Raw genomic sequence first — 25180 nt, 5'->3', positions numbered from 1 at the left:
ATGACTGGACTAGGTCATTGCCTCATTCACTCATTCATTCAAACTTGAATGTGTTGGAAACCTACAATACGCCAGGCACCTCAGTTCTTAGCACTGAGAGATAAAGAAGACACAGCCCAAGCTCTGGAAGCTTTCACAATCCCATGAGGGAGGCAGAGCTGCAGAGAACACTTCACAATTTAGAGGGATGAAAATTCTGAAAGATGGATACACAGAGGCTTCTGTGAGCCCAGAAGAAGCAACTAACCCCACCTGACTTGTCCATCACTGCATCCCAGCACATATACAGAGCAAGTATTGGGTGGGTGGACGGGTAGATAAATGGATTAATGGATTAAGGGGTGGATGGGTAAGTGGTGGATGGATGATAGATGGACAGGCGAGGGAGTAGGCAAATAGATGGGTGATTGAATGGATAGATGAGTGGCTGAGTAGGTAGATGGACAGTAGACAGTTGGGTGGACAAGTGGGTGAATGGATGGGGGATGAATGGATTGATGGGTGGGGTAGATGGGTGAATGGGTAGATGATGGATGAATGGATGGGTGATGGATAGATGGATGGATGATAAATGGGTGGGTGGATGAGTGCATGGATTGGGGAGAGAGAGAGGAATAGATGGGAAGATGGATGGGTAGAAGGATGGATGGATGGATGGATGGATGGACGGATGGAAGAGAGGGAGAGGAAGGGAGAGGAAGGGATAGGAGGAGGGACAAGGGCCTCTGATTTTTCAGAGGAGCATGAACTGTCCCCTCTTCGGTGTCCCTATAAAAGCTCACTCAGTCAGCAAGGGCCTGACCCAGAGAACTGTTGTCCAGAAGCCATTTAACAAGAGACAGATGGACAGAGATAAGCCAAGGACAGAAAGAAAGGAGAGAAGGATGTGATGAGAACAGACAGAAGAAGACAGTGTGGAGAAGACCCTGTCAGGCAGACAGAGCAGAGCTGGAAGGAGAGCAGAGAACAGGCAAGTGCCAGCCACGGGGATGGGGAGAGGAGGGAGAAAGGCTGTGGCAGGGGTCGTGATGAACACAAAGGGAGCTATAACACCCGCTGTGACAAGGTTCCGTTGTGAGCAGGTCTCTGTTCTGCCGCTTTATGAATATGTGCCAGTAAACAGCAGATGTGAAGTCCCTGCGCTCACAATTACACTGCGGTGACAGTGACTCAGGCAGCAGAGGGCCAGGGGCTTCCACCAGCCAATGGGCAAGGGGCTGAGGGGCTAAGTGGGGGGGCGTGTAGCGTGTGTTGGTCACCCTTGCAGCCTGGTCCGTGGAGCGGAGCAAGCATGGTATCCGTGAGCACAGTGGGACAATATGGGCAGCCTGGTTTGTAAACACCAGCTTTCGACAGCCCCACCCCGACCACGTGTGCCCCAGGGAGCGCATTCCTTCCCTTGCCCTAACCCTAGACAGTAGCACAGGGAAGAGAAGATGAAGTTGGGTGGGCCCCTGTCCCAAGCAGCCACGAAGAGTGGACACAGATGAAGGGGACCCGCCCTGGTGTGCTCCAAAGTGAGCCAGACTCTCCAAGGAGGCTGGAGCTGGCATCAGCAATCAATAGCAGTGAACTCCTAGGCAATGAAAAAAGCAGTGTGACCAACAGCATGTTAATTAATAAAGCCCAAGAGAAGGACTGCCAAGTGGCATCGGTGAAAATCTCAGGCCTCCCACGGGCCTGGTCACTGCCCAGGTGCACATCTCCCACCTTGACTGCCTGGACCTGCCGCCTGCCGGGAGTCCTGGCCTTCAGGGTCATGCCTGCCAATCCACTGGGTCCCCCCAGCAGCCAGCACACCCCATCAGCATGCTAGGTGCCAGGAGCTGCAGGCCCAGCCACGCTGCCCTTTGGGAGTGTCCCATCTAGCAGGATTTTGGACATCAAAGGTCAAAATTCCTAAGCAGGGCACCCGAGGCCCTCCCTAGATCCAGCTGTCTATGTATTGCTAAGTTCTGTTCCACACTGGTCTTCAAAATTATATCTGATGATTTAACATGGTTCATAACGGGAGGTGGCCTGACTGAACTGAACTGTAGCCCCACTCTGGAACGCTGACACTGTCCCCTAATTGTGGATGCTGTAAATAACATTGCTGCAAACACCTGCATGTGGGGAGTGCTTTCCTGGTTTGGAAGGACAGATTCCCTTCAGGGAAATTCGCACAGAGTGGGTTCCGCAGCCATGGGGTGGGTTGTGCTTTTTAAAACAAGAGTCGTGTCCATTTACAACACTGGCAGAAAAATGCATGAAAATACCCTTTTCGCCAGACTTTGGCTAGCATTGGACACTACTTTTCGTTCATGGCTATTTTTTTGAATGTCCCAGATATTTCTTGGTGACAACTGGGGCCAGGGGTAAAACAGAATCCTAACTGATTCCTGGGGACTGAAATTGTCCAGTGGTGGGAAAAACAGGAGAACAGCAGATCAGCGTCTGCTCGGAACACCAAACACTTGGGAGAGTTGTTTCATCCCTTGTTTGGAGATGCAGCTCTAGGGGCGTTATGTCCAGTTAGAGTGAAGTTCACAGCTGAGCTGTAAAGAAACAACAGAGCGTCCAGTCCAACAGTTCTCCGGCCCATGCACTGAAACCCAGTGAGGAATGCCAACAAAAGGCCAGGCCTGGACCTCCGCAGCACCTGGGCACTGGTGTGGCCCAAAAGCCACCCACTGGGTGAGCCTCACGTCCATCTGGCTTGAGGTCTGCTCACTTTGTCCAAGCCCTCACTGGGTGGCGAAGGACATGCCAGAGCACGGTAGGCAGGGGAGCCCATCTCCTGACCCTGCTTGACTGCTCTTTCTACCACATCACCCAGCCCCCACCTCACCCAGCCCCCTGCCCCATGACCCGGTGACCTCCTGGGCCTCTCCAGGGCCTGGGGATAAAGTCTAGGCAGCCTGGCGCAGGACACCCAGCCCACACCCACCCCACTGGCCCTGTGCTCCAGCGGCACGGGGCCAGTGGCAGCCCGCAGAAGACCCCACACCTTGACTCAGCAAGATATTTACAATGAGAATGCTGAGACACCTGCAGGACTGACCTGCAGCCGTCCAGAATCATCACTGGGGCAGAGGGGCCTTCTGCTCCCTACGGCAGGGGTGGACAGGGCATGAGTGTTGCAATGAGACAGACTGGAGTTCCAGCACCAGCCATGCTGCCCCTGGTCCCCAGCTTCCTCGTAGACACAGCGCCCACTCCAAACCTTGCGCAATGATGAAGTATGCTAACATACTGCAAGCACCAAGCTCAGTGACTGGCATAAGAGGTAGGTGTGCAATTAAGTTGAATTCCCCCTTGGTAGCCATCAATCAATGTCAAATAAGTGTATGGAAGCCAGAGGGGGGAAGGGGTGTCTCTGTCTTTTCTGTCTATAACGAAGGAGAATGCTGCTATCATGCTCCAAATGTGTTTCCAACAAAGTGAGGCCGCTCACATGATGGGTCGCTTTCCGACAGCAAAACAGTAGAAAACACAGCCATTAAAAACACAAGATTCGGCCTGGTGCAGTGGCTCATGCCTGTAATCCCTGCACTTTGGGAGACTGACGTGGGTGGATCACCTTAGGTCAGGAGTTCAAGACCAGCCTGGCCAACATGGTGAAACCCCATCTCTACCAAAAATACAAAAAATTAGCCAGACATGGTGGTGCGCCCCTGTAAACCCAGCTACTCTGGAGGCTGAGGCAGGAGAATCTCTTGAACCCAGGAGGCAGAGGTTGCAGTGAGCCGAGATTGCGCCACTGCACTCCAGCCTGGGCAACAAGAGTGAAACTCCATCTCAAAATACAAAAAACAACAACACAAGATTGAAATTTGTTCCTAATGAGCCACATGGTCTTCGCCAGGGCACTTAGCATCCTCAAACCTCAGTTTCATCATCTATAAAGTGGAGGCTGATGACAGTAGTGGGGCCATTGTGGGGAAGCAGGTGAACAAATGCATGCCACAAGAAAGAGCCTCTAAGAGCGGTGTCCGACACAGCATAAGCCCTCAAGAAATCAGAGTTGTTTTTATTATTCTTCAAGTTCACAGAACAGTTTCCTCGCACAATATGCTTTCTCTGAATGAACTCTAATTTCATAATCCTTGTGAGAAAGCTGGAAGAATGAAGTGCCTGAAGGACGTAGAGTTAATGGTGAGTAATTTCCCCAGGAATTCCAAAAGGCTGACCCAGGGAGAAATTCACAAGATGACCTGTCTCACATCGGCTCCTCCGGCTCCTTGGCCTGACACGAGGGACTCTCTTAATTAACTCTATCTTTATTGCTAATCTTAGTAAATCATTAGACAAGATCATCCTCAGAAATCATTCTCACTTCCGTTCATCAAAATTGTGGTTGCCTGTGCCTGTTCATTTCATGTGATTCACGAAAAGTTGTCCTTTTGAACTAGCATGGTTTGTGGGTATTAATCGCAAGTCTATTAGTGCAGACATTGTAATAATGAATTGAAATTTACATCATGTGTAATCTCATTAATTGTGCGATCATATCGGGCCTGACAGTTGTAATGCATTACTAAGGGAAAATAGTCTAATACATGACATTAAAGATGTTATCAAGGTTAATTTGCCTTAAAATGTACTAACTACAGAAAATTTCCCCTTTCCTTTGAGATACTGTGGTTTAAACACATGGTGGTTTAATATCAGAGGAAAGTGTCCACACAAATCCACAGGATCAGAATGGCATGCCTCACCTCTCTGGGGAGAAGGGAGGAGTGGAGATAGGCGTGGGATTTGGAACCACTCAGGTGAGTTTTTCAGCTCTACCACGTAAGTGCTGTGTGATCTTGAACAAACTGCTTAACCTCCCTGGGCCTCACTCAAGTTCTTTGTCTGCAAGGAGCTATGGGAGTCCCTATGCCTCACTGGGTCATCACGAGGCTGAAACAGGCATATAGAGGGCCCAGCAGAATGCCTGGCACACAATAGGTGCTTTTTATTCTTATTCACTGATATGTCCTTGACATCCGGCACGAGGCGTGGCCCATGGGAATTCTATCGTAAATGGATTCAGGGTTGCCAAGGAGAATGCTTGCAGAGAAACAGGTGGACAATAACAACATATGAGCCAATGCCAGATCCAATCCAAAGAGAAAGTAGGACTGGCACAGGTGCCCCACCTGAGACAGGTGACCCCGTGTGGTCCCAAACACAAAGGCTTGAAGGAGCTGCCTGACAGCTTCCCTTGGGCAAAGGCATTGTCCCAACTCAATTATGTTCAGAAATCCTGATATGATACCTAAGTGGGCTGGGTCATAGCCATCCTCAAGCACTAAATTTTTTAAATAATCATTATTAATATAATTCATAGATATGACCTTATTCTTCATTCAATCAGCAAATATTTACAGAGCACCTACTACTATGTATGTATAGTCTTTGTGTTAAGTGCTGACCATAAAGAGCTAAATAGGCTTGACATGCTCCCTGATCTCATGAAATTTTCAAGCAATTATAGTACAGTTTGATGAATGTTATGATGGACATTAAGACACCCTGGGAACTCATGGTAGAAGAAACTAGCATTGTCTGACATCTGGGAAGATTGGTTTAAGTGTGGCTGAAGAAAGAGAAGGAAGATCAATCCTTCAGGAAGATATAACAAGTACAAATATATATGCACCTAACAACATAGCCCTAAAGTACATGAAGCAAAACTGACAGAATTGAAAGAAGGAAAAGACAATTCTACATCTGCAGTTGAAGACTTCAGTGTCCTACTCTCAATAATTATTAGTGCAAGTAGGTGGAAGATCAGTAGCTCTTGACTTGAGCAACATTATCAACTGACTTAACCTAGTTGACATTTATAAAATACTCCACCCAATAACAGTTGAGTACAGATTATTTTCAAGTGCACATAAAACATTCTCCTGGATAGATCACATGCTAGGCTGTAAAACAAGTCTCGGTAAATATTAAAGGGTTGGAATCATTCTAAGTATGTTCTCTGATCATAATGGAGCCAAATTGGAAATCAATATTAGAAAGAAATTTGGGAAAATCTCAAATATTTGAAAAATAAACAAAAGATTTCCAAATAATCCATGGCTCAAAGAAGAAATCACTAAGGAAATTAGAAAATAAACTGAATAAAACTGAAGCACAACATATCATAATGCAGCTAAAGCAGTGCAAAGGGGGAAATTTATAGCTTTAAACGCTGGTATTAAAAAGGGAGAAAACCCTAACATCAATTATCTAAGCTCCACCTCAAGAAGCTAGAAAAAGAAAAATAAGCCTGGAGTAAGTAGAAGAAAGGAAATAACAAAGATCAGAGCAGAAATAAATGAAACAGATGGCAGAAAAACTACACAGAAAAATAAATGGAACCAAGAGTTGGTTCTTTGAGAAAATCAACAGAAATGGTAGACCTTTTGGCTAGACTGAGCATGAAGGAAGAGAAGAAGTTGGCCAGAGACAAGATGGCAGATGAGGAAGAAAGTGTTCTAAGGGCAGGTACCCACCGGAGGGAAAACTCAGAGAAAAGAGAGGACAGGGGACACAGAGGAACTCCAGAAACTGGAGCATGGAGTTGGGGAGAGAGGGCGGCAGGAAGGAAGACTGGGTCTGCTGCAGAAGGGTTACCAAAGATCTTTTGAGCTTCGCTGATGTGCTTGGATTCCACCCCAAGAGCATTAAGCCATCACTGGAAGATTTTAAGCAGAAAAGAGATACTATGATCAAAGGTTTTAAAGGTCATTGCATCTCACAGATGGGAAACGGAGGTTTGGAGAGGTCCTAGGACTTGTCTATGGAGAGGTCCTAGGACTTGTCTAGAGTGATGCAGCTAGCCAGCAGCATTACTGGAGTCATACTCAGCTATTTTCAGCAAAATAGCCTGGAAGAGCACTGGAGAGGAAGCCAGGAGACCCCCAAGTTACTGCCCCTCACTGAGGTCCATGACCTCGTTTGTAAACTGATGGAACCATTTGTAAAGCTCCTGCAGCCCCTTCCAACAACAGCATGAAGGATTCTAAACAAACAGACAAGTTAAGGTCCTTCAGCTGTCCTGAAGTCACACCCAATGTGCACTTTCTATGCTTAATATTGGTCTTAGGAGTACAGCACTGCTCAGTCTGTCCTGTGCCCCAACATTAAGAAGTTTTAAGATTTCATGGCAGACACTGAGAAGATGTAAACAGCACAGCCTCTGCTCTCTGGAACAAGCTTCTACCGCTCCAAAGTTTTGCTTTGAAAATTGGGGCCCAGCATAGTACGAGTGACATTTTCATCACAAGGTAAAATCCTTCCCCCTCTAATCCATCCAAGTCCCTGGGAGGAAACTTGTGGCAAACAGCCTACCCTTCCAGCCAGCAGCAGGAGGGACAACAGGCCGAGGCTCCCCAGGGGTCATCTGCGAGTCAAAAGCAGACTGGAGGGGCCTGGAGAATGAGACTGGGGTCTGGGTGGCCCCCAGAGCTGCACAGCACAGCCAAAAGCTTCCAGACTCCCCCTCCGATCCACTGTGCTCCTCACGCAGACTCCCAGCCGTGTAGTCTGCTGTTTTCAAGGATAAACAGTGAGTCAGTACACGGGGGAATCAGGGGTGAGGTGCAGTATGGGGTTTATTCGCTTTCCCATTTAGGCCTCAGTCCCCAAAACCAACCCATTCACCAGGCTTCCTGTCCAGCACGGTGCTTCCTCTTCACCTCCTGGCCCAGTGTGGGAGGACTCGGCTGGTCCCAGGCATGTTTCTGCCCCTCACCTCAGTGTCCACTCTCTGCTCAAACTGCCCTATCCTCTCCCATGCAAGGAAACTCCCCACTGCCCTACTCCCCTTCTGGAATTCCCAGCCCCTGATGGGGGCACATTGCCCTCCAGTGGGTCTCACTAGGGCTGTTCTGTGGACCCAGGTGATGAAGGAGCAGAGCAGAGGCTGCAAGGTAACAGCACATAGACTCGGCCCTCCATCCACCCATCTCCCTTCCAGCCAGCAGTGAAGGCCTGAGTGCTAGGCAGGGCGCCTGGTTTCCTGTCATTTCTGGAAGCCTCCATGGGATAAACTAGCCCCGGCTCCTGGGGACCTGTGACCCTCCTCATCTGGACAACTGCTCAGCATCTGCAAAGAAGGCTCCATGACATGGGACTCAGCAGATGAGGAAGCCACTGAGACCTTCCATCCCAGGCCCTGCACTGGGGGCATGGCGGGGGCAAATGGCACTGCCTGATAGTTAGTTAAGTCAAAGGACAGCAGACACGTGCACCTCTAGGTGCGTAGGCAGAGCAGGGTGTCAGGTTCCACGTCCACACCGCACCCACCCCATACCTCCCGTGTCAGTATTCACTTGCAGGCCAAGGAGAAAGAACATCTTGGGGCAACTTGGATCTGTACCAGGGCCTAGAAGCCAACTAATCCTCCCAACCACACATCATGGCCACGCCTTACAGGGGAGCACAGGAAGCACCCCCGGCACTGCCACCTCCCAGCTGCAGGGCCTCGGGCCACTCACAGAAACTGGAAGCCTTGGGCTCCCCTCCAACAGGGCCTGTCAACCTTCCTCGTGGAGCAGAGCTAGAAGGAAGTCAGGTGCTTTGGGTGTGGAGAGCTGCCCCCATCTTGAGGACTTATTCTACGCCGTGTACCAACCCACTCAACACTAGGTGGGTGCTAGTGGCGGCCCCATCTGCCACAGTGCTTCCTCTTGACCTCCTAAGGGCTATTTTCCAGATGGGGAAACTGAGGCAGGCAGGGTCACCCAGGTAGAAAACAGCCGCACTGGGTCTGAAGCCAGGCATCTGCCCCAGAGCCTGAGCTCTCAGTGGCTGAGCTTCCCGCCTGCACTTACGGAGGTCAAGGCTCTGTGCAGAGGGAGCAGGTGCCAGGATGGGGAGATCCACTCATCAAAGCCCTTCCCGTGCTGAACCCGGGGCTGTGCACGTCACCTGCACCAAGCCTGCCCTGTTCCAGTGTGGGGACAGGGACGCCGACCTTACATGTGAAGAAGCTGAGGCTCAGACATGTCATCGGCTTTGCCCGGTGTCACTCACTGAGCGAGTGGTCAGGCAGGAAGCTGAACCCAAACCCAGCTGATTCCAACGTCCCAGGCCTTCACTTTGGCATGACACCCAAATGCAGGAGGCCCCAGCAACGATGTGGTATGGGCCCTTGTGACTCCCTGAGGCCCATGCTGCCAACCAGCCCACCTCACGTCTGAGGGCGACTGGCACGTTTGCCAATGTTGCAGACAGGAGGACCAGGACCTCTGCCCTCCTAATGCTCCTGTTGCCGTGCCCGGAAGAACACAGGCAGAGGATCACGAGCTACTCGGGGCCCACAGGGTCGGGGACTACGTCAACGTTGCTCTGTCCCCTTTTCCACCCTCCCTTTCCCAGGCCTGTCTGCAGCCACCCTATGTCCCTCAGTTCCATGTACCTCTGAAGGCCACACAGCCAGGACAGAGACCTTGGCCAGCACCCAGGGAAGCAGGCATCACCACCTTCAAGGTAATGACTGCTTCCTTCCACCTTGGCAACTGAAATTTACAACGGAAGAGATCAAATTAGTCCCATCTGCCTGCTCACAGCTCTGCGGGTTAACAACCGTTATAATTACCGCCCATGCCAGCGGCCAATTACCCCTCTCAGGCCATTCTTTAAGGCAGATTATTTTACATGAAACTTTATAGGGGACACACCATTACCCTGGCCTCGGAAGTCCTGAAGGGAGGGCTGCTGGAAGCTTTGCAGGGCTTCTTCCCTGTGTTTAGCTAGGGGGTGCAAGCAGGCCGGGCCCCAAGGTCCCTGCAAGGTTCGCCTCCACCTCCCTTTCACGCCGCACCTCCAAGGGTGAAAGGACACATCTTGGCCCCCAAGACAGCCCCCAGAGGCCCCTCCAGCCCTGAATAAAGAAAGAAGAAAGGTAGGAGGGCATGCTTCCCCCTCGGATTCACCAGGGCCGGCTGTGGAATCTGCAAGGCTAAATGCCAAATGAAATGAATGGAATCATTCAGAAATGATTAAGAAGGGCAAGATGGCGGCAGCAGCAACAAACCCAGCACAGGCTCTTCCAGGCACAGGGCCCGGGGCAACGTCAGAGGCAGCCCTCCGCCGACAGTGTCAGGACACAGTGAGTAGCTCAGGGGAGGAGGCAGACCCATGTCCACATCACTGTCACTGGCCCTTAGGAGCTGCAGCCCCTTGTTCCCAGCACTAGAATAGCCTGGCACCCAGTGGGCACTCAGTCCTTGAATGGGCGAGGCCTTTCCCAAATACCCGAGATGGACAACACAATTGTTCATCAACAAATGAAGGAATACACAAAATGTGGTCTATTCACACCACGGAATATTACTCAGCCATGAAAAAGGAATGGGGTATTGACACATGGTATGACGTGACTGGACCTTGAAAATATTGTGCTTTGTAAAGGAAGGCAGAAGCAAAAGACCACATCATATATGATTCTATCAACATAAAATATCTAGAACAGGCAAACCCGTAGAGACAGAAAGCAGCTTGGTGGCTGCCAGGGACTAGAAGGAGGAGAAATGGGAAGTGCCTAATGGGTCTGGAGTTTCCTTTTGGGGAGATGAAAATGCTTTAGACCAGGCTGAGGTGGTGACTGCACACACTGTGAATGCACTGAATACCACTGAAGCCACACTTCAAAATGATCGATTGTATGCTGTGTGAATTTCATGTCAATAAAGAAGAAAAGCTGCCTGGGAGATTGAATGATGTCATGCACATGTGGTCCCTGGCCCTGCATGGAACCTCAGGAAATGGTGGCTGGGTCATCACAGAGCCCTCTGGCCTCACACTTCAGAAAACAGTTCCTGGTCCCTTGTTCATCCAGGCAGCATGGGCACCTCCTGCTGCCAGGCCTCTTACAGCCTGAAGAGTAGAGAGAAAATGAGCAAAGAAAGCTCAGAATCCAGCCAGGAAGGCCAAACCTGGCCACAAACAGCCAACACAAGACGAGGAGAGGGACAAAGCCCCGCAGGGTTCAGGGCTGGGAGGATTGCTCCATTTGCAGGACTAGGAAGGCTTTCTGGAGGAGGAGCTTAGAGCTGGGCCTTGAACAGGCCAAGGCAGAAGGGCACCCAAGAGAGAAAGAACAGCATGTGCAAAGGCCCAGGGGCTGGAACAGAGCAGCGTGAGCAGAAGGTTCACCAGCTCCCCACAGATACTCCCAGGGTCTACTCCACACCACTGATATGCTTCCATCCGCCAACATTTCCTGCACGCAGACCTCGGGCCAGACCTACAGCCAAGGACTGAGACGCTGCAGTCAACAAGACCATCCTCCCCACCATGCACATCTGTATTTTCCTTTCTGAGATGTGGCATGCTTCCTGCTCACTCCTCACGCTTCCTTTGCTGCTCATGCTGTGGCCTGCAGGCAGGGTTTGTTCCAGCTGCTCTGGCCATGCAGCAGGGATGGGTGCAATTGTCCAGCCTGGCCAATGATGGGGCTCAGGGATGAGGGAGGAGCAATTTCTCCTGGCTGCAGACCTAGAGCCACCCTTGCCAATAGTAAAGCCGACCTTTGATCTCTAAAGTTTGGCTTGTGCGTCTTATTTCTCAATGGGTCCCAAGCGCAGGATGGGAATAGGGGGCGTCACTAAATGCCCCCTGGGGCCCCATGTTTCCCCTTGACTGACAGCTTCTCTTTTCCTCGGTCTTGCCTTCTAGCTGCAAGTGGGGCCTGCAGCTGGAGCTCAGGGAGTTTCCACCCACAGGTGTGCAAGCGTGCTCACGTGCAAGAGTGCAGAGGAGTATTCAAAGCCATTTCCTCAGAAAGAGGCTGTTTCAGACCCCGCAGTGAGGGACGGGCCTGGAGGAGACTGTGGCACGCAGCCTGAGCTGATTCACAGAAGCCACCTGGGGGGCGCCTTTCCCAGAGGAAGCTGGCACCTTCCAGGGTAGGCGCTGGCCAGGATCCGGGCTGCCCTCCACAAAACGCCAGGACACGCAGAGGCTCTGCCCTGCTATGGTGACCAGCCATCCCTGTCTGCCTGGACTGTCTTGGTTTTAGCAGCAAACATCTCACATCCTGACACCCTCAGTCCCAGCTCCTACCCAGTCTCCCTGCCCCACTGTGTGCAATGGCATGGCCACACTCCATCACATGGGGCAGGGCCATGGTCAGCGGAGTGTGAGGGTCGTACAGGCCTGGGTTGTGGTGCTGGCTCAGCCTCTTACTAACTGTGGGGCCTCGGGCCTTTCAAATCCACTTCTCCCAGCCTCATTGTCAACCTGTGTAGAATGAAGGTAAGGACACTCATCTTGTGAGCCCTTCTGGGTCCTGAACATGCGGCCTGGCAGCCCCAGCACCTGGGCCAGTGCCCCACAGGCCCTTCATACGTGGCCTCCTAATTATCAGCATCTCTGACCCCGGACAAGCCCCCAGCCTCTCCTCGCCTCAAGGTCCTAGTCTGTAAAGTGTGGCAAGTCCTCATGGAAAGCAGCCCTGATGCATGGCAGCTGCTGCTTGGCAGAGCCTGGGTTGGGGCCTTCTCCCTTGACATCTTCCTGGAGACCCTCCCTTTTAGGAGACACTCCTCCCAGGACTTCCCAAACCCAGGATTTGCAAATATGAACACGTCTGAGCTGGTTCTTCGCTTTCTCCCTCTTATGGGTTGAACTGTGCTCCCCAAAATTCCTATGTTGAAGTCCTAACCCCCAGGACCTACGAATGTGCCCTTATTTGGAGATAGGGCCTTTACAGAAGGGATCAAGGTAAAATGAGGTCATTTGGTGAGCCCAATATGACTGGGTGTCCTGACAAAAATGGCCACAGAGACGCTATCCGGGAGAACACCGTGTGAAGATGCAGGCAGAGACCAGGGTGGGGCATCTACAGGCCATGCACGCCAAGGATGGCCAGCAGCCCCCAGAAGTTGCAGAGCAGCCTGGGACAGTTGCCCCCACCCAGCTGCAGATGAACCCAGCCAACCTTGCAGGCACCTCGATCTCAGGCTTCCGGCCTCCAGAACTGCCCGTGGTACTTTGTTACGCAGCTGTGGCTGACTCATACAACTTTCCTACACCAGCTGTTGCACTGCAGTCAGGAGTCCTCCTTCCTGTGCACATCCTTGGATCAAGCTGTCTTGTCACTCATACTGGTGCCTCCTGTCCCACAGATGGCCATTTCTCAAAGAGAAAGCCTTGGTTCCTACCCAAGAGTAGCTGTGCACACGGAGGGGTGAGAAAAAGGGCAGCGCTCCATGGGCTGGTTTTCTCTATTAGGAAAGCAGCCCTCCTGTCCCCACCCTCACGGGCCACAGTTCACATCCAGGCCACGGCGAAATGGCAGGTGATACCACATCTGTGTGAATTTCCAGGCAGAATGGAAGAGCCCGTCTTGGCCAAGAGGTGCAGTTCCCCTGGCAGGCTCTGCCCTGCCAGAAGTGTGTCAGGGGGTTGCTGGGTATCCTGGGGTTTACTGTAAAGACCAACAGCTCCCTGGTGCGGGTATGGCTTCACGGCCCCAGCACGACCACGTGCCTTCCACAGTACTGCCGTCCACAGAGCCTTGGAGGCCCAGGAGCAACAGCTTTGAAACAGGCCTCTGGGCCAGAGGAATTATAACAATTATGGAAGCTGTCTGGTGTCCTGCCACTTGGGATTAATTAAATGGTTTCCAACTGTGATGGAGGCACCACATAAAATACTTTTAAATTAATTTTTAAAGAATAAATGAGAGCATTAACATTTTATGCCCTAGCTGAGGGATGGGGACAGGGGTGTGGGCAAAGCTGGAGAGGGCAGGAGACTGAACAGAAAGAGCACTGTATCAAGAGTCCCAGAACCCCTTAGCCAGCCCCACCCTGGCTGGCCCTGCTGGGTGCCTCTGGGCCTCAGTTTGCCCACCAATACAGAGAGACAGGGACAGATGACCTCTTCATCTATGGGCTCTGTTCGGCGGTGGGTAGGCAGCCTGGCAGGCCATTCATCCATCCATCCATCCATCCATCCTTCCATCCAACCGACATCCAACCATCCATCCATCCAACCGACATCCATCCATCCATCCATCCATCCAACTGACATCCATCCAGCCAGCCATCCTTCCATCCAACCGACATCCATCCATCCATCCATCCATCCATCCTTCCATCCAACCGACATCCATGCATCCATCCATCCATCCATCCATCCTTCCATCCGACATCCATCCATCCATCCATCCAACCAACATCCATCCAACATCCAACATCCATCCATCCATCCATCCAACCAACATCCATCCATGCAACCAACATCCATCCATCCATCCATCCATCCAACATCCATCCAACATCCATCCAGCCAGCCAGCCAACATCTTCTAGGTGCCAGACCTGATGCTGTCACTATAGAGCTCAAAACCCAGCAGGTACGCAATGCCCAGGTGATGGGGATGCAACAGTAGGGTTAGGGCATCTGTGGGGACCACAGAGAGGGCAGCAGGTCCGCAGAGGAACCCTGGGCTTGCAGGGCAGGGCTGGGTGTTTCCAGCAAGGGGGCAGCATGTGGGAGCATGTGTGGGTGGCAGGCTTGCTCTGGAAGCTCTCAGGAGCTGGGAGTGGCAGGGGGAAGGTGCAGGTGGAAGGCACAGGGCCGGCTCACAGGTGGCCAGACAAACCCTGGTAGGGAGTAAGAACTTCACTGCACGCATTGGCTAAGGGCGGCTGGGATTCCTTGTCTTCCATTAGACTCTGCAGCCAGGGAGCAATGCTGCCCCAGCGTGCGGGTGTAGAGCTCTCCCTGGCTTCCCACCATCTTCAACATCCAACCCTCTGGCCGTGGCTGCAAGGCCCACATGGCCTACTACCACCAGCCTTGTCTTGTCAGCCACCTGACCTCCTGCCAGCTCCTCCAACAAGCCAGGTCTCCGCTGCCCTCAGGGCCGGTGCACCTGCGCTCCCTGCTACCTGGAACTCTCCCCGACCTCTGCCTGAACTTCCACCAAGTATGAGTCTGAAGGTCGCCTGCTCAGGAAGGCCTCCTGATCCAGTGCGGGCACCTTCTCCCGGCATGAAGCCTGACCACTCCTGCCCCCTGACAACCACCCATGCCATTATTTGCAGAGTGCTTCTCTCGGCCAGCAGACCGCACGTTGCAGGTGGGCTGGGACACATCCCTCCCCGTCAGGTCTCCCCATAAGGCCCCGCACACAGTAGGTGTTTGACTAATCGTCATGAGTAAATGAACGCAGGGATCAGTGAATGGATTCACTCTAAAATCCCTTCCAGCCCCACCTTCTGCAATTCTAGACTAAACATCTGCCCTCGGTGAGGCTCCAGACGGGAGTGGGTCATGACATGGACTCTGACACGGAGAACTGGACCTCGGCACAAAAAGCCAGCCTCTCTCTTCTCAGCCACGATTGTGTGTGATTCCCAGCACTCTGACGTAAGTCAGCTCAATCAATCCTCACCACCGCGCTGAAAGGAGAGTCATGGCTCCCACTCTCAGATGAGAACTTGGGGCTCAGGGCGGCTCAGGGACAAGTCCAGGATCTCACGGAACCTGGACTCAGACCCAGGGCCTTCTGTTCCCAGCTCCGTGGGGACACAGCCTCTGCCAACTGGGCCCCGAGCCCAAAGTGCCAACTCCAATAGCCTCTGGAGCCTGCCACCCAAGCTGCTCAGGGATTGCGTCTGGGCACGGCTCACCCAAGGTGCTACTGGCGCTTCCACCAAGATGCGAACAGGAGGTCCTGGGACCCTAGAAACCCCATCCTTGGAGACAAGAGTCCTTCATCCATCTGTTCTGGGCACGGCTCACCCAAGGTGCTACTGGCGCTTCCACCAAGATGCGAACAGGAGGTCCTGGGACCCTAGAAACCCCATCTTTGGAGACAAGAGTCCTTCATCCATCTGTTCTGGGCACGGCTCACCCAAGGTGCTACTGGCGCTTCCACCAAGATGCGAACAGGAGGTCCTGGGACCCTAGAAACCCCATCCTTGGAGACAAGAGTCCTTCATCCATCTGTTCGCATTGATCTCAGCCGGGGCCAAGGGCCTCCGGGGAGTTGGGGGTCTCTGGGAAGGAGGACAGCAGTCGCAGTCTCAGAGCTCTCCACTGGGAGACACCGCCACCCAGAAGCCAGCAGCATCCCCAAGCTGCCCGCTGGATGCTTCTCCTCCCTTCAGCAGAGCAGACGGCTCCCTGAAACCCCAGTGAGGGAGAGTAGGGGCCATCTCCACCACGAGCAATCGACCAGGACGCAGGGCAGGGGCAGCGGGGCCTCAGCTATCAGTGCCCTCCTTCCTTCCAGCACCCTCGAATCACAGCACACATGGGGACGCGGAAGCTGGCAATTGTCACCTGACACTCCAGGAGGGCAAGTGAGCCCCTGCACACAGCGCTTATGGTGACAGGAAGTCACCTTACCATCATCCCCCAAGTCACAAAGGACAGACTCAGGCGCATGCCAAGCCCCGGCCAGGAGGGGGCAGAGCTGAGACACGAGCTGGGTCTGTGCCCTAACCCTGGCAGCTCAGGTCACCGGTAGGCCCTGCCAAGCCAGCTTGGGTCTCCAGGCCTCACCCCCGCACCCGCACTCCATGCCAGGCATCCCTCCTTGCAGCAGAGGATCTAAGCCACTTGGGCCTGTTCCAGTCGCCACGCCACACCCCCCAGCCGGGAGCCCGAGCAAGTCTTTCAACCTCCTTGAGCTTCAACCTCCTGGAAGGTAAAATGGGCCAAATGCCATTCTTGAGAGCAGTGGGTGAGCTCAGAAAGCCTGAAGGGGCTGTGTGCGTGGAGGGATGGGAGCTGCCAGTGAACAGCCCTGGAAAACCACCCCAGCCCGCCTCCAGCAAGACTGCAGCTGCCTCCTGAACTGGCCGTCCTCGGGTGCCCCGACAGATGAGGCCTCGGGCCGGAGCAAGAGGCGGGGCAGGGTGAGGCCCGCCCAGAGAGAAAGAAAAGGCGTCCTGGGAAGGCAGCGCTCAGCACGTGTGGGGTCTGTCGGGCCTGGAGGAATTCCTCTCCCATGTTTGGGTTCTCTGCAAAATGTTTGGGTTATCAAAGCATCTCCCCTCCCCATAAAATTCCCTTCACTCCCCAGGGAGGGCCCAGAACAGAAACACTTTCTCTTTTTTCTGATTTCCCAGACTAAGGGGAGACTTGTACAAAGACAATGAAAAACAAGACATCTCTTGCCCTGTGGTTGGAATTGAACAGGTGAAAACTTGAACGTAGAGAGGAAAACTAGGCGTGTGCCCCGGACGAGGATACTCAGAATTTCTAACACAAATTTGGATCTGACCACGGCACAGATTCCCAGCTCTGGGCCGGGTGCTGCAGAATGGGAGCTGAAGGGACACAGATGCCCTCTGTGTAAAACTCTCCATGGCTCCCCACTGCTACTGAGATCAGGTTCAAAGCCCATGGCCCAGCCGACTGCATCTCAGTCCATCCCTTTAGCTTTATTTCCCTCCCTCCCTCCACACCCGTCTCCTAATCCTCAGCCTCAGAGCACTTCCCTCCGCTCCCAGAAGATGCCTGATACTGACACTCGCTGTTCTCACCAAGAACTCCCACCCTGCCAGCTCCACAGGCCAACTCCTATCATCCTACAGGGCCTGCTCACACGTCACCTCTTCCATGAAGCCGGCCAGGAGGACAGGTCTCCCCTCTCTGGGCCCAGGCACTTTGTCCGTGGCAACCTCCCCACCTGATCATTATGGGCTGCCTTGGGTTGGTCGGTGACCACAGGAAGGCAGTGACCGTGTCCACCTCCCCTGTGTCCTCAGCGCATGTGCACACTCCCCGCCTCTGAATCCCTGTTGCTGCAGGAACTGACAAGGTCCAGGTGACCCTACTGTCTGCTCCTAATTACCCACAAACAAAAGTTCAGCTGCCACCCCTCAAGCATGCTCACTGAGCACCCCCCAGGTGTCAGGTTCTGTGCTAGGCCTGGCCCTCAGAGCTCACTGTCTGGGGTTGGCAGACACAACAAGGAACGGGAGGAATGGGAGGGGGGACCAGCCCCTGGGGGGCTGTGGAATCTGGGGAAGGAGGGGCGGGTGAGAGGACTGACCAGGGGGACAGGGAGGAGTGTAGGGGAGCGCCAGGTGCCAGGTGATGGGGAAGGAAGGCAGGCTGGGGAAGGAGGAGGTCCAAGGTGGCTGCTGCGGGAAGGGGCTGAGAGCAGGGCCAGGACCCGGGGTGCGCAAAGTTTGGGGAGAGCCTCACTGCCAGGCCCAGCCCTGCACCCAACATGCCTGTGTGGGCACCTTCTTAAACTCTGCACCCTGGACGTTTCACTTGTGCCGCCCTCGTGGGCTCTTGAGAGGAGGGTGAGGGGCCGGGGGACTAAGGTGGGGAGGAGCTTGGTTGTCACCCCAGAGTTGACGCGGAGCCTCAGGAAGCTGTGAGGCTGGACAAGGTCCCAGTCGGCTCTGGCAGCAGGGGACGCTGTCCCCAGCTGAGTATGGAGGCTAGGCCCAAGGGGCAGAGATGGGAGAAGCGGGATCAGAGGCCAGCCCTGCCTTCTTCCTGCCTTCTTAGTCAACAGCCAGCTCCCACTGTGAGTTCCAGCTGGAGAAATGCGGCTTCCCTGGCCCCTTTCCCCAGCCCAGCTCAGCGAGGCAAAATGTTTTGACAGAAAGCACTGACCACAAGATACAACTTCATGTTAAATGTATCTCACCCACAGCTGCCTTCTTATAACTTTCAGATGAAAATAACAGGCTTGGAACCTGTGGGGAGACCTGGGCCCCTGGGCTTGGGCTAAGTCAGGGTCTGGGGGAAGCAATGGCACACGCAGTCAGGGGCCTGGCCAGTCCCCAGGTGAGGCAGGGAGGTGGACGACGAGGGCCCTGGGCACCCAGTGGCCCCTCTCTGGACATCAGTCTCCCGATCTTGAAACTCAGAGGCTGGGCCAGAAAGTCCCCCGAGTGAGCCCCTCCTGCAGGCTGGGCCCTGTGCAGTTTAGGGAGCACGTCCCACCAAAACACCCCCACAACAGAGCAGAAGAGGATGTCCCATCTGGGCTGCCGCACCGGCCAACATCACACACGGGAACACGTTTAACACCTTCAGCAGCTTCATGGGTAACTGCAGTGGGTCCCATCAGCCAGCTAGGCAGAAAGTGAGAGGGGGACTCAGCTAGGAAGTCACTCCAGCCCCGGGGCAGAGGAAGCAACACCCAACGCAAGAGGCAGGTGTGGGCACCAGGGTTCTGCCTTGGCTGCTCCTCCGAAACTCAGCCAGTCAGAAATGGGATGCCCTAGTGGGGTGGGGTCAGAGGCAGAGGTGGGGCAGGCTGCCTTCCTGCCTGCACGGCCACACCGCCTTGTCCCATCCACTTGCTCTCCTGCTGTGACGACCACAGCCAACAAGCTACACACTCTGTGAATAAAGACCAGCCCCCAGGAGCCTGTTCCGTGCCAGGTGCCTTCCACGTGGAACACCTATTCTAACCCTCCTCAAAACTCCGCTGGGTAAATATGGCTCTCCCTGTTTTGCTGATGTGGAAACAGAGACTGGTCCAAGGCCACATCTGGTAAAAGGCTGAGCTGGGACGTAAGCCTGGGGGTGGCAGAGTCCACATCCTGCCCTCCTCCTGCCTCACCCACACTCTGCCCCATCCCCAGTGGCCAGGCCACCATGTCCCCATCAGAGGCTGAGGTCATGTCATCCACAGGCAGCGCTGGGAGCCAAGAGGGGCTTGTGCTCACTCGGGTTTGTTTGGATTTGGAGGCTCCAGCCCTGCACAGGGTGTGACTTCCCCATCTGCCTCTAGACAGGTGGCCCAGTGGATTGGGTGAGTTTTGAGTCCTTCAGGGTGAGCACCCCTCATATGCTTCTAGATGCTTTGCTTCATGGGGCTGAAGTCTGCCGTCAACATGCCCAGCCCGGAGAGTGTTGCCTAGGCCAGGGTCGGGGGTCACAGTGGGTCGGGGGAAGCTGATTTCTCCAGGCTCAGTGTGACTCCTCCATCCTCCCCTGGACAGAAGCAGAGGCAGTTGTATCATGGGAGCTGGCTGTGGGCCACCACATTCCTATCTGGAGAACACCCACTGTCTGCAGGAGGCTGCGGGTGCCTCTGTGGTCCTGTTCTTGGAGAGCAGCCTCAGAGGAGCTGAGACGTGGACAGAGCCTGCGGACAGGGCCCCCGGGATTGCCTGCATGTGGCAAACCATCCCACACCCAGCTGGCACTTCTCGGTCACCTTGGCCTGGCTGAGAGCCCCCCACATCAGGGCAGCAGGCCCTTCCTGAGCTCCTGGCACTGAAGGAGCAAAGATAAGGATGCTCTCCTGTAGCAAGGACAAAGGAAATGCCAGGCACACAGTTGGTGCTCACTAAACATGCGTTCTCTCCCTCTCCTCTGAGCCATGACTGGCCTGTGGATGCTCCTCCATTAACAAGCTGTACCCCTAATCTCACCCCCAGAAAGAGCCTTAGCTGGGAGTCTTCAGCTCTCAGGACGGCCTGGCAGAGGGCGGACGCTGGATACAGACCCAGGCTCCAGCCCCAGTCATACCCTGTAGGAATGCCTGCGACATCTCAGACAGCTCCTTTCGCTCTTGCAGCCTCAGTGTCCCCACCTGTCACTTGGGGCGCCTGCCATCCTCCCAGCAGGGGTCCAGGGCTCACAGGAGGTAAAGGACTGAAGCCACTGACCCCTGCCTTCCAAGGCGCTCTGCAGACCCGCTTCGTCAGCCACCTGGGGGCTCGTTAGAAACAGACTTTCCTGCTTCACCCCGACCCACTGAATCAGAATGTGCATTTTAACAAGATCCCCGGGGGCGTGGGTGGACAGGAGTCTCAGACCTGCTGCTGTAGAGGATCTTAAAGACAGGCCCTTCCCTCCCACACCCCACTGGGTTTCTCAATCCCTCACTTGCTCTGACTCTAAAGCCCTTTCCTCCCACCTGTGGCTGAACTGAGGCATCAGCTCTACCAGGGTCTCTTAGGGGACCGCAGTCCGTACCTCCTTCCCGCGTGGGTACTGTCACTCCCAGCTTCATGAAAACACACAGTGTGGGGTCCATACCTGCAGCAAGGGTCGATCACCCACCCCCACTTCTGCCTTGCTGTAGGGTGACTCCAAGCTGTCTCAGCCAAGGATCACCCTGCCAGGAGTGAAGACCTGCACCCCAACCACCCCAGCCCCAAGAACCTGCCCCAGCCCAGGCCCAGGTCACGTGAGGTGCATGCCGAGCCCCACAGCAGTCTCCAGCCCACGGAAAATGAAACCCAGACTCCTCTATGGGGGTGAAGCCCCCCCACCATGTGACACAGCCTCCTCCTCACCAGTTCCTCCACCCTGTCCCCACCCCCAGCCTCTCGCCGCCCCTAGCCCTCCCTGGCCCTGGAGCACACCAAGCGCAGACTCCCTCAGGCCTCTGCTTCTGCCATTCCTTCTGCCTGGAGCCCTCACCCTGGATCTTCTCACCCCCAGCCTCAGCACCCACATTCCTCTCCCTCGCAGGAGGGTGAGCGCCTGCAGGCTGTGGCAGCGAGCCTTGTTCACAGATGTGCCAGCACTGAGGACAGCGTCCTGTCCATGGCGGCCGCGAGTCCACGTCTGTGGAACACACGTGGTGGGAGAGGTGTTGGGGGTGTGCCTAGGGGGCACCCTAGCTTGCCAAGCGTTCACTGAGAGACCTCAGGAATGTTCCTTCCCTGGAAGTCTCCGTTTCCTTGATCACCTGAGCAAAGGTAGACATCCTGCCTCTGAGGGCAGGTGCGAAGTTCCAAGGTGAGCATGGATGTAAGTTGCACTGCAGAGCACAGCGGGCATTGACTTTCACTTCTAAATTCTAGCCGTTGTTTCTAAATGTCCATTTCATTTCTAAATTCCAGAGGTGCCATGCCAAGCAGAAGGAGCCAGGAGAGCTGAGGACTCGCCCCAGCCACAAGCCCCAGGGTGACACAGACTCGCTCTTTCCCCATCAGTCAGGCAGCATTGGACTTGGACGTCAGGGGTGTGCGTGGGGGTGGATGGTAGGAATCGCAGCTCAACCAGACTCATCCTCCAGAGAGGGCGCAGGCACCTTTGGGCACAGCTGCCCTGACCTGAAATTTGCCGAGAAGCTCTTTGTGATACGCTGAATCACAGCCCCTAAAAGGTGTCCATGTCCTAATTCCCTAAACCTGGGAACGTCGCCTCACGTGGTCAAAGGGCTTTTGCAGATGTGATTAGGTGAAGGCTCTCGGGATGGGGAGATTATCCTGGATTATCCAGATGGCCCTAATGCAATCACACGTGTCCCTGTAGAGCAGGAGGAAGAGGGAGATTGGACGACCAAGCAGGAGCCAGGACAGGCGGCAATGGAAGCGGGAGGCTGGAGTGATGTGAGGGAAGGGGTTGGAATGCGGGTGGCCCCTAAGAAGCTGGGGGAGGCAAGGGACCAGATTTTCCCCTAGAGCCTCCAGAAGGAACCGCACCTGCCAACACCTTGAGCTTAGTCCCTTAAGACTCATCTCAGACTTCTGACCTCTCAAAGTGTAAGACCAAACAGGTGCTCCTCGACCCAAGATGGGGCCACATCCAGATAAATGCAACATAATTGCAAATATCCTGAGTCAAAAATGCATTTACTCCCCCTAACCACCAAACACCGTGGCTGAGCCTGGCTGACCTGGAAAGGTTGTATGGGTATTCAAAGTACAGTTTCTGCAGGATGGATGTCACTTTCACACTGTTGTGAAGTCAAAACATGTTAAGTTGAGCCATTGTAAGTTGGGGGCTGTCTGTACATTTGTGCTGTCTCAAGCCAGTAAGTTTGCGGGCATTTGTTACAGCAGCGGTGGGAAACTTACATATGCTTCTTCGTGTTTCTCTCCTGCAATGTGTTTGGCAGGAGAACTGGGCTGAAGGTCTTCACCAAAGAAACCTGCCATGAAGAGGCCTCTCCCCCAGACTGAGCTACCTGCAGCTGCTGTGTGTTCAGGGTAGGGGCCACGTCCAGCATCTCAGGGGACCCCCTCAGCGGCACACATGACTATCAGCGCAGACACTAACCATTGCCACCGTGGCTCAGGGTGGCTGGCCCGGGAGGTGTCCTCCATGGGTGGGAAGAGTCTTCTTTTACGACGTTTGCTCTGCCTGAAGCTCCTCCTGGCTCCCACATACCCAGACCCTGGTGGCTGTCCTCTTGCCAAGTGTGAATGCTGCTGGGTCCACGTAGGCAGACTGACACCATGCCCTCCCAGGCCCCGGGCCCGCCTGTAAGCCAGGGCTCTGTGGGCCATTCGGAGCCCCTACTGAGTGGAGGAAGCTGGCCCTGTGCTCTCGGCTTGGGAGCTCTGAGTCACCGGACTTGGAGAATGCCTGTGGATTCTTTCCCAGGGCTGGGGCACAGGCTTGGCAGGGATTCAGAGCCACGGTCGCCTCCGTGTGGCCTTCACACATGGCCTTCCTGCATGAGGGCTCCGCATGGGCCTGGCCTCGGGGGGCCACACACCTCACCTGACCAGCCGTTGTCAGCCAAGAGCGGTCTGCGGAGGGTGCTTGGGACTCAGGAGCCCAGTCCCTCCCCTGAGCTAACTGCCAAGGGTGCCGGCAAGTGGGGCTGCTGGACATGGATGCTCATCCTCAGGCCGGAAGGGACGGTAGAGATGGGCTGGCTGAGGCAACTCTGCCAGCAAGTGCTGAGGGTAGCCCCTGGTCGGGGCCACAGACTGGGTGAGTGGCAAGACCAGGACTTGTCTCCAAGGCCCCTTGCAGCTGTGAGGAGCAGGGAAGCATCTGTCTTGCTTCTCTGACATACCCAAGTCCGTGAGGCCAGGGCAGGGCTGTCGGTGGGCAGCTAGGTACCTGAGGCAGAGCACGAGAAGGTGCTCCAGAAACGCTTCTCGCATGAATCAATGGATGGATGAATGAACGAACTCCACTCTGGCTACCTGGGGCTTGTACCTGGGCAGCCCTCAAGGAGCCCTCACTAAAACAAACCTGTGCAGATCTGTGCCTCAGTCCCAGCTTTGAAGCCCTGGCCAAGCGATTTAACATCTAGGTGCCTCCGTTTACTCTCCTGCAAATGGAAATGGTCACAGCTCCTGCCTCCTAGAAGAGCCCTGAGGATTCAGTGACAAACATCTATCAGAAGCCTAGCACGGGCCGGGTGCGGTGGCTCATGCCTGTAAACCCAGCACTTTGGGAGGCCAAGGTGGGTGGATCACTTGAAGCCAGGAGTTCAAGACCAGCCTGGCCAACATGGTAAAACCCCATCTCTACTAAAAATGAAAAAAAAAAAAAAAATTAGCCAGGCATGGTGGTGGGTGCCTGTAATCCCAGCTACTCCGGAGGCTGAGGTGGGAGAATAACTTGAACCTGTGAGGCAGAGGTTGAAGTGAGCTGAGATCATGCCACTTCACTCCAGCCTGGGTGATAGAGCAAGACTTGGTCTCAAAAAAAAAAAAAAAAAAAAAAAAAGCCTAGCACGAGGCTCAGCACACAGTAGGTCCTCAAACTCTGATGATGAGGAAGAGAAGGAAGTTCCTGAGACGTGTCATAGTAGAGTCCGCAACCTCAGGAGCCCTTGGTCTGGAGGGGGACAAGAACAGGCATCAAATGCCCTGGCCAGGACAGCACGGTCAGCAGCCCCAGAGCAGCCAAAGCAACGTTGCCGGGGGCGGGGTTGGGGGGGGCGGTCACACAAGCCAAGCCCTCATGCACTCAGGAAGGGAAAAGAGGCTTCTTGGGGAAGCCACAGAGAGGCTGGGCCTCGAAGGACACCAAAGGGTCTGACGGGTCTGCACAAGAGACAAGAGACGTCCCGGGAGACACTGCAGGGGCAAAGGCCTGGAGGGACCCAGAAAGCATGAGCACAGGACAGTTCTGGGACAGGGACACACGCTGGGGCAGAAGCAGCCACGCAGCCGGGAGACCAGCAGGGACTCTGGTCAGGAGGCTGAGTGCAGGGTGGCAGCTGCCATCTATCCAGGACCCAAAACGTGACCTTACTTGGAAATGGGGTCTTTGCAGATGTAACCACATAAAGATGAGCTCATACTAATCCCGTCCCTGTGTCTTTAGACAAGAGAGGAGCGGAGGTCTGGACACAGAGACACACAGGGAGGGGCCACGTGAAGACAGAGCCAGACGGAGGGATGTGGTGCAAGCCGAGGAGCACAGAGCCTCGCCAGGAGCCACCGGAGGTGGGACAGGTGAGGAGGATCCTCCCCCAAAGCCTCCTGACTCCTGGGAGGCCCAGTGGCCCAATAACTCCCTTGATTATAGACCTCTGCCTCCAGAACAGGAAGAGGATGCATTTCTGTTGT

General features: G+C 54.5%; 1 protein-coding gene across 8 annotated transcripts in view, besides 1 other annotated feature; it reads right to left on the bottom strand.

The window, feature by feature from the left end:
* SORCS2 (sortilin related VPS10 domain containing receptor 2) overlaps nucleotides 1-25180 on the bottom strand; it is a 550290-nt gene that overhangs the window by 390477 nt on the left and 134633 nt on the right. The gene's annotated exons all lie outside the window — the stretch shown is intronic.
* Nucleotides 16438-17227: an enhancer, noted in NCBI's record as "H3K4me1 hESC enhancer chr4:7336851-7337640 (GRCh37/hg19 assembly coordinates)". NCBI's record gives its function as "activates a minimal SCP1, AML or CMV promoter by ChIP-STARR-seq in primed H9 embryonic stem cells {active_cell/tissue: H9 hESC(primed)}" and the evidence as "EXISTENCE:reporter gene assay evidence [ECO:0000049][PMID:30033119]".

The sequence above is a fragment of the Homo sapiens genome, chromosome 4 (genome assembly GCF_000001405.40).
Source record: "Homo sapiens chromosome 4, GRCh38.p14 Primary Assembly".
Classification (NCBI taxonomy): Eukaryota; Metazoa; Chordata; class Mammalia; order Primates; family Hominidae; genus Homo; species Homo sapiens.
The sequence above is the reverse complement of the archived record's forward strand: the minus strand, read 5'-3'. Positions and strand labels throughout refer to the sequence as shown.